Here is a 14,636-nt window from a genome sequence, read left to right as displayed (position 1 = left end):
GAAGTGTCCCTATACAGATTCTACAAGAAGAGTGTTTCCTACCTGCTGAATCAAAAGAAAGGTTAAAATCTGTGAGGTGAATCCACAAAGCACAAAGCATTATCATAGATAGCTTCTTTTCAGTTTTTATCAAAGGATATTCAGTTTATCACTATAGGCTTCAATGGGCTTAGAAATGTCCTTGCACAGATTCTACAAAAAGAGTGTTTCCAACCTGATGAATCAAAAGAAAGGTTTAATCCTGTGAAATGAATCTACAAAGCACAAAGAACTTTTAAGAATAGCTTTTTTGTTGTTTTAATTGCAGGATAATCAGTTTATCACTCGAGGCCTCAATAGGCACTAAGTGTCACTAAACAGATACTACAAAAAGAGTGTTTCCAACCTGCTGAATTAAAAGAAAGGTTTAAATTTGTGAGATGAATCCTCAAGGTGTAAAGTGTTTTCACAGATAGCTTCTTTTTAGTTTTTATTGTGGGATATTCAGTTTATCACTATAGGCCTCAATAGAACACCAAATGTCCTTGTGCAGATTCTACAAAAAGAGTGTTTCCAACCTGCTGCCTCAAAAGAAAGGTTAAACTCTGTGAGATGAATCCACACATTGCAAAGCATTTTCTCAGATACTTCCCTCTAGTTTTTATCATGGAGTTTTCTTTTCTTCACTATAGGCCTCAATGGACTCAGAAATCTTCCTACTAAGATTCTCCAGGAAGAATATTTTCATCCTACTGAATCAAAAGAATGTTTTAACTTGTGGAATGAATCCATAAAGTGGAAAGCACTTTCACAGATATCTTTTTTAGTTTTTATTGCAGAAAACTCTTTTTATCACTATAGGCCTCAATGGGCTCCCAAAAGACCCTGCACAGATTCTACAAAAAGAGTCTTTTGAACCTGCTGATTCAAAGGAAAGTTTTAACTCTGTGAGATGATCCACAAAGCACAAAGCATTTTCATAGATAGCTTCTTTTTAGTTTTTATCACAGGATATTCTGATTATCACTATATGTCTCAAGGGACTCCCAAATATCCTTGTGCAGATACTACAAAAAGAGTGATTCCAACCTGATGAATCAAAACAGTGGTTTAACTCTGTGAGATGAATGAATAAAGTGCAAAGCATTTTAACAAGTAGCTTCTTTCTTGTTTTTATCACATGACACCTGTTTTTCACTATACAACTCATTGTGTTTCAAAATGTCTTTGCATAGATTGTACAAAAAGAGTGTTTCCAACCATCTGAATCAAAAAAAAAAGGTTTAACTATGTGAGATGAATCCACAAAGCACAAAGCATTTAACAGTTAGCTTCTTTTGAGTTTTTATCATGGGATATCAGATTTTCACTATAGGCCTCAATGGATTCTGATGTGTCCCTGCACAGATTCTACTAAAAGAGTGTTTCCAACCTGCTGAATCAAAAGAAACATTTAACTCTGTGAGATAATTCCACAAAGTTCAAAGCATTTTCACAGAAAACTTCTTTTTAGTTTTTATCATGGGATTATAAGTTCATCACTACAGGCCTCAATGGGTTCCCAAATGCCCCTGCGCAGATTCTACAAAAAGAGGGTTTCCAACGAGATGAATCAAAAGAAAGGTTTAACTTTGTGAGATAAATCAACACTTCACAAAGCATTTCCACAGATAGCTTCATTTTAGTTATTTGGGGGGAATAATTGGTTTTTAGCTATAGGCCTTAATTGGCTTCCAAATGTCCCTTTGCAGATTCTAGAACAAGAGTGTTTCCAACCTGCTGATTTAAAAGACAGGTTTATCTCTGTGATATGAATCCACACATGGCAGAGCCTTTTCACAGACAGCTACTTTATAGTTTGTATTGTGGGATATTTGATTTTTCACTAAAGGCCTGAATGGGTTCCCAAATGTCCTTTGCAGATTATACAAAAATAGTGTTTCCAACCAGTTGAATCAAAAAAAGGTTTAACTCTGTGAGGTAAATCCACACACTGCAAAGCATTAGCACAAATAGCTTCTTTCTAGTTTTTTGGGGGTAATATTCAGTTTTTCACTATAGGCCACAATGGGCTCCCAAATGTCCCTTCATAGATTCTACAGGAAGTGTGTTTCAAACATGCTGAATAAAAGAAAGGTTTAACTCTGCCAGATGAATCCACTCATTGCAAAACGTTTTCACAATAGCCTCCTTCTAGTTTGTGTCATGGAATATTTGGTTTTTCACTATATGCCTAAATGAGTTCCCAAATGTCCATTTGCAGATTCTACAAAAAGAATGTTTCCAATCAACTGAATCAAAAGAAAGGTTTACCTCTGTGAGATGAGTCCACACATCACAAGCGTTTTCAAAGGAAGTTTCTTTCTAGTTTTTTCATGTGATATTCTGTTTTTCACTGTAGGCCTCAACGGGCTTTCAAATGTCCTTCTTAAATTCTACAAACTGAGTGTTTCCAACATGCTGAATAGAAAGAAAGGTTTAAATCTATGAGCTGAATCCACACATTGTGAAGTGTTTTCACAGATAACTTCTTTATAGTTTTGATTATGGGATATTTAATTTTCTACTATATACCCCAATGGGCTCCAAAATATACCTTCACAGATTCTACAAAAAGAGTATTTCCAACATGCTGAATCAAAAGAAAGGTGTAAGTCTGTAAGATGAAACCACATTGCATAGTGTTTACACAGATAGCTTTCTTCAAGTTTTTATCATGGGATATTCAGTTTTTGACTATAGGCCTAAAAGGGCTCCTATATGTCCTTTCACCGATTCTACAAAAAGAGGCTTTCCAACCTGCTGAATCAAAAGAAGTGTTTAACTCTGTGAGATACATCCACACATCTCGAAGCCTTTCCACAGATAGCTTCTTTCTAGTTTTTGTCACGGGATATTCAGGTCTTCAATAAAGGCCTCAATGGACTCCCAAATGTCCCTTTGCAAATGCTATAAAAATAGTGTTCCCAACCTGCTGAATCAAAGAATTGTTCAACTTGGTGAGTTGAATCCACACATTGCAAAGTGTTTCCTCAGATCACTTTTTCTAGTTTTTCTTGTGGTATATTCGGCTTTTCACTCTAGGCCTCAATGGCCTCCCATATGTGCCTTGGCAGAATCTACAAAAAAAAAAAGTGTATTCAACCTTTCAATAGAAAGTTTTAACTTTGTGAGATGAATCCACACTTCACAGAGCGTTTCCACAGGTAGTTTTTTTCTAGTTTTCATTTCAGAATAGTCAGTTTTTCAGTATAGGCATCAATGGACCCCAAAATGTCCGTTCACAGATTCTATAAGAAGAGTGTTTCCAACATGCTGAATGTAAAGAAAGGTTTATCTAGATTTGATTTATCCACACATGGCAAAGCATTTTCACAGATATATTCTTTCTAGTTTTTATTGCGGGATACTCGGTTTTTCCATGTGTGCCTCTAAGAGCTTCCAAATATCCCTGTACACATTCTACAACAAGAGTGTTTCCAACCTGCTGAATCAAAATTAAGGTTTACTTCTGCGAGATGAATCCACACATCACAAAGCATGTCCTCAAATAGCTTTGAGGGTTTTTTGTTGCTGTTTTTTGTTTTTTTGTTTTTGTTTTTGTTTTTGTTTTTGTTTTTGTTTTTTTTTGGCCAAGGGGGAAATATTCAGTTTTCCCTACAGGGCTCTATTGGCTCACAAATGTCCCTTTGCAGATGCTTCCAAAAGAGTGTTTCCAACCTGCTGAATCAAAAGGAAGGTTTAACTCTTTGAGTTGAATCCTCACATCCCAATCATTTTCACATATATCTTATTTCTAGTTTTTACACAGAATATTTGGTTTTTCACTATAGGCCTCAATGGGCTTCCAAATGTCCCTTTGCAGATTCTACAAAAACATTGTTTCATACCTGCTCAATCAAAAGAAAGGTTTAACTCTTTGAGATGATTTCACACATCACAAACTGTTTTCACAGACAGCTTTTTCTAGTTTTTATCTGGGGATTTTCAGTTTTTCACTATAGGCCTCAAGTGGCTCCCGAATTTCCCTTCACAGATTCTAAATAACGAGTGTTTTCAACCTACAGAATCAAAAGAATGGCTTACCATTGTGAGATGAATCCTCACATTACAAAGCATTTTCAAAAATAGCTTCTTTCTAGTTTATATCACAAAATATTCAGTTTTTCAATATAGGCCTCCATGGGCTCTCAAATGTCCCTTCTCATATTCTACCAAGAGAGTGTTTCCAACCTGCAGAATCAGAGCAAAGGTTTAACTCTTTGAGATGTATCCTCACATGGCAAAGCGTTTTTACACACAGCTTTTTTCTGGTTTTTATCACGGGATATTAGGTTTTTCACTATGGGCCTCAGTGGGCTCCCAAAATGTCCCTTTGCACATTCTACAAAAAGAATGTTTCCTACCTACTGAATCGAAAGAAAGGTTTACCTCCATGAGACAAATCCACCCATGGCAAAGCATTTCACAATTCATTTCATTCTACTTTTTAATCACAGGATATACAATTTATCACTATAGGCCTCAAGGGCTCCAAAATATCTTTCATACATTTCCAAAGAGAGTGTTTGCAAAGAAATGTTTAACTCTGTAAAATGAATCCACACATTGCAAAGTGTTTTTCACAGATAGTTTCTTTTCAGTGTGTATGGTGGGATTTTCAGTTTTTCACTACAGGCCTCAATGGGCTCCCAATTATCCCTGGGCAGGTTCTACAATAAGAGTGTTTCCAACCTGCAAATAAAAAGAAAGGTTAAACTTCGTTAGATGGATCCCACATTCCATAGTCTTTCCACAGATAGCTACTTTTTTTTTTTTCGAGGAATATTTGGTTTTTCACCAAAGTCCTCAATGGGCTTTTTTTTTTTTTTTTGAGATGGAGTTTCGCTCTGTCACCCAGGCTGGAGTGCAGTGGTGTGATCTTGGCTCACTGCAAGCTCTGCCTCCCGGGTTCATGCCATTCTCATTCTTCAGCCTCCCAAGTAGCTGGTACTACAGGCGCCTGCCCCAACGCCCAGTTAATTTTTTCTATTTTTTAGTAGAGACGGGGTTTCACCATGTTAGCCAGGATGGTCTTGATCTCCTGACCTCATGATCTGCCTCGCCCTCACAAAGTGCTGGGATTACAGGTGTGAGCTACCACGCCCAGCCCTCAATGGGCTTTTAAATGTCCCATCACAGATTCTACAAAAAAAGATTTTCCATCCTGCTGAATCAAAGTAAAGATTCAACTCTGGGAGATGAATGCATAAATTGCAAAGAGTTTCCACATATAGTTTCTTTTTAGTTATTTTTTGTGTGTGTGTGTGAATATTCGTTTTCACTACAGGCCTCAAGGGTTCTCAAATGTCTCTTCACAGATTCTACAAAAACAGCATTTCCAGGGTGCTGAATCAAAAGAAAGGTTTAACTCTGTGAGATGAATCCACACATTGCAAAGCGTTTTCACAGAGAGCTTCTTTCTAGTTTTTATCCTGGGATATTCACTTTTTCACTATAGGACTCAATGGACTCCCAAATATCTTTTGTAGATTCTACAAAAGAAATGTTTGCAACATGGTGAATCAAAAAAAAGGTTTAATCTTCTAAATGAATCCACACATTGGAAAGCATTTTCCCAGATAGATTCTTGCTAGTTTTTATCACAGTATATTCGGTTTTTTGCTATTGGGCTCAATGGGCTCCCAAATGTCTTTTGTTGATTTTCCAAAAAGTGTGTTTCCAACCTGCTGAATAAAAAGAAAAGTTTAACTCTGTGAGATGAATCCACACATCAAGAATCATTTTCACAGAGCTTCTTTCTAGTTTTTGCTACAGGATATTCAGTTTTTCATTATAGGCCATAATGGGCTCCCAAATGTCCCTTCACAGATTCTACAAAAAAAAAAAAGTGTTTCCAAGCTGCTGACTCAAAAAAAAGGTTTAATTCTGTGACATGAATCCACACATCACAAAGCATTTCCAGAGATAGGTTCTTTCATGTATACATATGTAACAAACCTGCACATTGTGCACATGTACCCTAGAACTTAAAGTATAATAATAAAAAAAAAGAAAGAAAGAAAGAAACGATGCAAGCAAAAAAAAAAAAAGAAAAGAAATCTACCTGGTGGTCTACTCGAGTTCTGCTGAGTTGCCACCCAAGCCACAAATCCAAGTCCTTCCCACTATTGCCTTCCATTTCCACAAGCAAAAAAGTCTCTCCCCATGGCCACCACTGCCCCAGGCCTGCAATGAGTCCTGCCTGGGTACTGCCAATGTTCACTCAAGGCCCAGTGGCTCTTCAGTCATCTTGTGGTAAATGCTGCCATGCCTGAGACTCACCCTATTAAGGCAGTGGGCTTCCCTCTGGCCCAGGGCAGGTCCAGAAATACCATTCAAGATCCAAGGCCTGGAATCAGAGACCCCAAGAGCCTACTTGGTGTTCTGTCTCACTGGCTGAGCTGGTACCTGAGTTGCAAGACAAAGTGCCTTTTACTCTTCGCTTTACTCTTCTACTCCTTTTCTCAAGCAGAAAGAATCTATCCCCATAGCCACCACAGATGGGAATGTGGTGGATCAAATTTAAAACCAGTATGTCTCTGAGTATTACCCAAGGCATGGTGAGTACTGCCTGCCTACCATTACTGATTATTCAGGGTCCAAACGCTCTTTAGCCAGCAGATGATAAATTCTGCCAGGACTGGGTCCTTCTCTTCAAGGCAACTGGTTCCCTTCTGGCCCAAAGCATGTCTAGAAATGTCACTTGGGAGCTAGGGCTTGGAATGGCTGCCTCAAAACTCTGCCCAGTGCCCTAACCTACTGTGGCTGAGCTGGCATCCAAGTTGCAAGACAAAATCCTCTTTATTATTCCCTCTCTTCTCCTCAAGTGGAGGGAAGGAATCTCTCCCAGAGCTTTGAGCTGTGCTACCGGAGGTTGGGAGAGAAGTGGCACAAGCACTCCTTTGGCCACACTGGCTGGTGTTTCATTAGGTTGCATGTCGCCCAAGTCCACTGGCTCTGAGACCAGCACAGAACCAGGACTTGCTCAGCAGGTCTTGCTATTTCTTCTGCCCTAGACTGCCTTTCAAGTTTATTTAGGACCCCCAGAGCACTTTAGCCTGCCCTGAAAGGGCTTCCAGATGGGTGATTCTCCTCTGACTAGGTCTGTTCTAAATCCTCCTTCAATGGTCACCAGCTGAGTTCTGCATGGTGTTGCTTTCCACTGTGACAGGGTAGCACTGAGTTCCAATGCAAAGTCCCACAATCACTGCACTTTCCCTCCCATCAAGCACACAGATTCTCTCTCCACACCATACAGCCATTGCTGAGGGGGTTAAGGGAGGGGTTATGTAGGCAATTCAAGACTGTCCTTCCTAACTCTTCAGTGCCTCTTTCAGTTACCTGAAGTTAAACCAGGTACTGTGAATGCTCATCTGGTTTTTCTTTCTTATGAAGGTGCTTTTTTGTGTGAATAGTTGTTCAATTTGCTGTTCCTGTGGGGAGGACAATTGGTGAAGGTTTCTATTTGGCCATCTTGCCCCACTATTTTTCCTTTGTTATTGTTTCTTCCATTGTTCCCAGAATCTATGTGATCATCTAAAAAGTGTACTGGGATTAAAAATCAAATGAGAAATCAGAAACAAGAGGATATTTCTTGAATTGCCAGATTCCACTAAGCAGACAATTGGTTGAAGAGAAAGTCCTGAAGATGGACGGCCTAGTCTCCAGGATGGAAGACATTAGCTGTTAAGACTTTGTCCAGTATAAAGTAGGGGGAGAGATCTGGATGCTTCCTTTTCCCCTGCAGGATTCCACTTTTTCCATCTGCAGACCATAACCACCCCAGGTTGGGGGTCACTGGATTACAAAACCTACCTCCCTCAGGGCACACTCAAGAAACTAGTGCATTGTTATTTACAATTTAAAATAAATCTGAGGGGAAAAGAAAGAAAACAATATCCAAATTCAACATTTAAATTTAGCTAGCTAAATTTTTAGAAGAAAAAAACAGAAATGGAAATTGCCAGAGATGTTAGAAAATGTTTACGTGGACATTGTTAGAAAGCTCTGTTATGGCAAAAATAAAAAATAAAAACAGAGAGAAATGTTAATATACTGTCCTATTTTTCTATGAAGCAGTGCTAATATGAGAATCTGCACAATTTACTTCTCTGAAAAGCAAACTGGAATTGATTTATTTAATTTCTAATCTATAGATTTCCTCAGAAATCTTAAAAATAAGGAGAGCTAGGAACATAATTGTATTTTGCTGGATTCACAGATTATACCACTTCACTAATCATTTCAAGTTCGACCATGTCATGAAGTCTCCATCACTTCTTAGGAGGTCACCTCCCTCCCTGACAACTTACATAGTAGGCCTTAGCCTCCTTCCCCAAAGCTGTTCAGTGGGTACACTCAGAAGGGCCTCAACTGGAGAAACTGTAGTCAGCCACACTCTCACTCTGCCCATAATATCAGGACCTTTGTTTTACCTCGGGATTTTGCAACAACAAGCATCTGTGAAGTCAGGACACATAGAAGCACTGGAATAATGATCATCAAGTTAAAGAGGATTAACATAACACCAATGTTCCACTAGTATTGTGTAATAATAACTATACTAACTTTTTGTTCACTTGCACACAGCACACTACTGTATGAAGGTGTGAAGGGATTTTTAAATATGTGTTTATTTTTATATATAACAAACACAGTATCTTTGGGAATATTAAACAGATACATTTGAATTTTACCCCCATTTCCCTCTACCTTTGGATCTCAGTTTCTTCTGAGCCATCTTCCAGTTCACAAATTCTGTTCAATTATTTGTTTATTCTGTTGTTAAATCATTCCACTGAATTCTTAATTTCAGTTATTGTATTTAAGAGTTCTACAATTTTTCTTTTTTTTATTTTATCTTCACTCTTTTTTTAATACTCTTCTTTTTTTATTATACTTTAAGTTCTAGGGTACATGTGCACAACGCACAGGTTTCTTACATATGTATACATGCGCCATGATGGGGTGCTGCACCCATTAACTCGTCATTTACATTAGGTATATCTCCCAATGCTATCCCTCCCCGCTTCCCCCACCCCTCAACAGGCCCTGGTGTGTGATGTTCCTCTTCCTGTGTCCAAGTTTTCTCATTGTTCAATTCTCACCTATGAGTGAGAATATGCAGTGTTTGGTTTTTTGTCCTTGTGATAATTTGCTGAGAATGACGGTTTCCAGCTTCATCCATGTCCCTACAAAAGACAAGAACTCATTCTTCTTTACGGCTGCATAGTATTCCATGGTGTATATGTGCCACATTTTCTTAATCCAGTCTATCACTGTTGGACATTTGGGTTGGTTCCAAGTCTTTCCTATTGTGAATAGAGTCGCAATAAACATATGTGTGCATGTGTCTTTACAGCAGCAAGATTTATAATAATTTGGGTATATACCCAGTAATGGGATGGCTGGGTCAAATGGTATTTCTAGTTCTAGATCCCTGAGGAATTGCCACACTGTCTTCCTCAATGGTTGAACTAGTTTACAGTCCCACCAACAGTGTAAATGTGTTCCTATTTCTCCACATCCTCTCCAGCACCTGTTGTTTCCTGACTTTTTAATGATCTCCATTCCAACTGGTGTAAGATGTTATCTCATTGTGGTTTTGATTTGCATTTCTCTGATGGCCAGTGATGTTGAGCATTTTTTCATGTGTTTTTTGGCTGCATAAATGTCTTTTTTGGAAAAGTGTCTGTTCATATACTTTGCCCACTTTTTGATGGGGTTGTTTGTTTTTCTCTTGTAAATTTGTTTGTGTTCATTGTAGATCCTGGATATTAGCCCTTTGTCGGATGAGTAGGTTGCAAAAATTTTCTCCCATTCTGTAGGTTGCCTGTTCACTCTGTTGGTAGTTTCTTTTGCTGTGCAGAAGCTTTTTAGTTTACTTAGGTCTCATTTGTCAATTTTGGCTTCTGTTGCCATTGCTTTTGGTGTTTTAGACATGAAGTCCTTGCCCATGCCTATGTCCTGAATGGTATTGCCTAGGTTTTCTTCTAGGGTTTGTATGGTTTTAGGTCTAACATGTAAGTCTTTAATCCATCTTGAATTGATTTTTGTATAAGGTGTAAGGAAGGGATCCAGTTTCAGCTTTCTACATAAGGCTAACCAGTTTTCCCAGCACCATTTATTAAATAGGGAATCCTTTCCCCATTCCTTGTTTTTGTCAGGTTTGTCAAAGATCAGATAGTTGTAGACATGCGACATTCTTTCTGAGGGCTCTGTTCTGTTCCATTGATGTATATCTCTGTTTTGGTACCAGTACCATGCTGTTTTGGTTACTGCAGACTTGTAGTATAGTTTGAGGTCAGGTAGCGTGATGCCTCCAGCTTTGTTCTTTTGGCTTAGGATTGACTTGGCGATGTGGGCTCTTTTTTGGTTCCATATGAACTTTAAAGTAGTTTTTTTCCAATTCTGTGAAGAAAGTCATTGGTAGCTTGATGGGGATGACATTGAATCTATAAATTACCTTGGGCAGTATGGCAATTTTCACGCCATTGATTCTTCCTACCCATGAGCATGGAATGTTCTTCCATTTGTTTGTATGCTCTTTTATTTCATTGAGCAGTGGTTTGTAGTTCTCCTTGAAGAGGTCCTTCACATCCCTTTGAGTTGGATTCCTAGGTATTTTATTCTATTTGAAGCAATTGTCAATGGGAGTTCACTCATGATTTGGCTTTCTGTTTGTCTATTATTGGTGTATAAGAATGCTTGTGATTTTTGCACATTTATTTTGTATCCTGAGACTTTGCTGAAGTTCCTTATCAGCTTAAGGAGATTTTGGGCTGAGACAATGGGTGTTTCTAGATATACAATCATGTCATCTGCAAACAGGAACAATTTGACTTCCTCTTTTCCTAATTGAATGCACTTTATTCCCTTCTCCTGCCTGATTGCCCTGGCAGAACTTCCAACACTATGTTGAATAGGAGTTGTGAGACAGGGCATCCCTGTCTTGTGCCAGTTTTCTTTTTTTTTAAGTTTTTTTTTCTTTTATTATTATACTTTAAGTTTTAGGGTACATGTGCACATTGTGCAGGTTAGTTACATATGTATACATGTGCCATGCTGGTGCGCTGCACCCACTAACTTGTCATCTAGCGTTAGGTATATCTCCCAATGCTATCCCTCCCGCCTCCCCCCACCCCACAACAGTCCCCAGAGTGTGATGTTCCACTTCCTGTGTCCATGTGATCTCATTGTTCAATTCCCACCTATGAGTGAGAATATGCGGTGTTTGGTTTTTTGTTCTTGTGATAGTTTACTGAGAATGATGATTTCCAATTTCATCCATGTCCCTACAAAGGACATGAACTCATCACTTTTTATGGCTGCATAGTATTCCATGGTGTATATGTGTCACATTTTCTCAATCCAGTCTATCATTGTTAGACATTTGGGTTGGTTCCAAGTCTTTGCTATGGTGAATAATGCCACAATAAACATGCATGTGCATGTGTCTTTATAGCAGCATGATTTATAGTCCTTTGGGTATATACCCAGTAATGGGATTGTTGGGTCAAATGGTATTTCTAGTTCTAGATCCCTGAGGAATCGCCACACTGACTTCCACAATGGTTGAACTAGTTTACAGTCCCACCAACAGTGTAAAAGTGTTCCTATTTCTCCACATCCTCTCCAGCACCTGTTGTTTCCTGATTGTTTAATGATTGCCATTCTAACTGTTGTGAGATGGTATCTCATTGTGGTTTTCATTTGCATTTCTCTGATGGCCAGTGATGATGATCATTTTTTCATGTGTTTTTTGGCTGCATAAGTGTGTTCTTTTGAGAAGTGTCTGTTCACTTCCTTCGCCCACATTTGATGGGGTTGTTTGTTTTTTTCTTGTAAATTTGTTTGAGTTCATTGTAGATCCTGGATATTAGCCCTTTGTCAGATGAGTAGGTTGCGAAAATTTTCTCCCATTTTGTAGGTTGCCTATTCACTCTAATGGTAGTTGCTTTTGCTGTGCAGAAGCTCTTTAGTTTAATTAGATCCCATTTTGTCAATTTTGGCTTTTGTTGCCATTGCTTTTGGTGTTTTAGACATGAAGTCCTTGCCCATGCCTATGTCCTGAATGGCAATGCCTAGGTTTTCTTCTAGGGTTTTTATGGTTTTAGGTCTAATGTTTAAGTCTTTAATCCATCTTGAAATGATTTTTGTATAAGGTGTAAGGAAGGGATCCAATTTCAGCTTTCTCCATGTGGCTAGCCAGTTTTCCCAGCACCATTTATTAAATAGGGAATCCTTTCCCCATTCCTTGTTTTTGTCAGGTTTGTCAAAGATCAGATAGTTGTAGATATGCAGCATTCTTTCTGAGGGCTCTGTTCTCTTCCATTGATCTATATCTCTGTTTTGGTAACAGTACCATGATGTTTTGGTTACTGTAGCCTTGTAGTATAGTTTGAAGTCAGGTAGCCTGATGCCTCTGGCTTTGTTCTTTTGGCTTAGGATTGACTTGGCGATGCGGACTCTTTTTTGGTTCCACATGAACTTTAAAGTAGCTTTTTTCAATTCTGTGAAGAAAGTCATCGGTAGCATGATGCGGATGGCATTGAATCTATAAATTACCTTGGGCAGTATGGCAATTTTCATGATATTGATTCTTCCTACCCATGAACATGGAATGTTCTTCCATTTGTTTGTATCCTCTTTTATTTCCTTGAGCAGTGGTTTGTAGTTCTCCTTGAAGAGGTCCTTCACATCCCTTGTAAGTTGGATTCCTAGGTATTTTATTCTCTTTGAAGCAATTGTGAATGGGAATTCACTCGTGATTTGGCTCTCTGTCTGTTGTTGGCGTATAAGAATGCTCGTGATTTTTGTACATTGATTTTGTATCCTGAGACTTTGCTGAATTTGCTTATCAGCTTAAGAGATTTTGGGCTGAGATGATGGGGTTTTTCTAGATATACAATCATGTCATCTGCAAACAGGAACAATTTGACTTCCTCTTTTCCTAATTGAATACCCTTTATTTCCTTCTCCTACCTAATTGCCCTGGCCAGAACTTCCATCACTATGTTGAATAGGAGTTGTGAGAGAGGACATCCCTGTCTTGTGCCATTTTTCAAAGGGAATGCTTCCAGTTTTTGCCCATTCAGTATGATATTGGCTGTGGGTTTGTCATAGATAGCTCTTATTATTTTGAAATACGTCCCATCAATACTTAATTTATTGGGAGTTTTTAGGATGAAGGGTTGTTGAATTTGGTCAAGGCCTTTTCTGCATCTATTGAGATAATCATGTGGTTTTTGTCTTTGACTCTGTTTATATGCTGGATTACATTTATTGATTTGCATATATTGAACCAGCCTTGCATCCCAGGGATGAAGCCCACTTGATCATGGTGGATAAGCTTTTTGAAGTGATGCTGGATTCGTTTTGCCAGTATTTTATTGAGGATTTTTGCATCAATGTTCATCAAGGATATTGGTCTAAAATTCTCTTTTTTGGTTGTATCTCTGCCCGGCTTTGGTATCAGAATGATGCTGGCCTCATAAAATAAGTTAGGGAAGATTCCCTCTTTCTCTATTGATTGGAATAGTTTCAGAAGTAAAGGTACCAGTTCCTCCTTGTACCTGTGGTAGAATTCGGCTGTGAATCCGTCTGGTCCTGGACTCTTTTTGGTTAGTAAGCTATTGATTATTGCCACAATTTCAGCTCCTGTTATTGGTGTATTCAGAGATTCAACTTCTTCCTGGATTAGTCTTGGGAGAGTGTATGTGTCGAGGAATTTATCCATTTCTTCTAGATTTTCTAGTTTATTTGCATAGAGGTGTTTGTAGTGTTCTCTGATGGTAGTTTGTATTTCTGTGGGATTGGTGGTGATATCCCCTTTATCATTTTTTATTGCATCTATTTGATTCTTCTCTCTTTTTTTCTTTATTAGTCTTGCTAGCGGTCTATCAATTTTGTTGATCCTTTCAAAAAACCAGCTCCTGGATTCATTAATTTTTTGAAGACTTTTTTGTGTCTCTATTTCCTTCAGTTCTGTTCTGAGTTTAGTTATTTCTTGCCTTCTGTTAGCTTTTGAATGTGTTTGCTCTTGCTTTTCTAGTTCTTTTAATTGTGATGTTAGGGTGTCAATTTTGGATCTTTCCTGCTTTCTCTTGTGGGCATTTAGTGCTATAAATTTCCCTCTACACACTGCTTTGAATGTGTCCCAGAGATTCTGGTATGTTGTGTCTTTGTTCTCATTGGTTTCTAAGAACATCTTTATTTCTGTCTTCATTTCGTTATGTACCCGATAGTCATTCAGGAGCAGATTGTTCTGTTTCCATGTAGTTGAGCGGTTTTGAGTGAGTTTCTTAATCCTGAGTTCTAGTTTGATTGCAGTGTGGTCTGAGAGATAGTTTGTTATAATTTCTGTTCTTTTACATTTGCTGAGGGGTGCTTTACTTCCAAGTATGTGGTCAATTTTGGAATAGGTGTGGTGTGGTGCTGAAAAAAATGTATATTCTGTTGATTCAGGGTGGAGAGTTCTTTAGATTTCTATTAGGTCCGCTTGGTGCAGAGCTGAGTTCAATTCCTGGGTATCCTTGTTGACTTTCTGTCTCGTTGATCTGTCTAATGTTGACAGTGGGGTGTTAAAGTCTCCCATTATTAATGTGTGGGAGTCT

This window comes from Homo sapiens, chromosome 4 (assembly GCF_000001405.40).
Source record: "Homo sapiens chromosome 4, GRCh38.p14 Primary Assembly".
NCBI classification, from domain to species: domain Eukaryota; kingdom Metazoa; phylum Chordata; class Mammalia; order Primates; family Hominidae; genus Homo; species Homo sapiens.
This window is presented reverse-complemented; position numbering follows the sequence as displayed.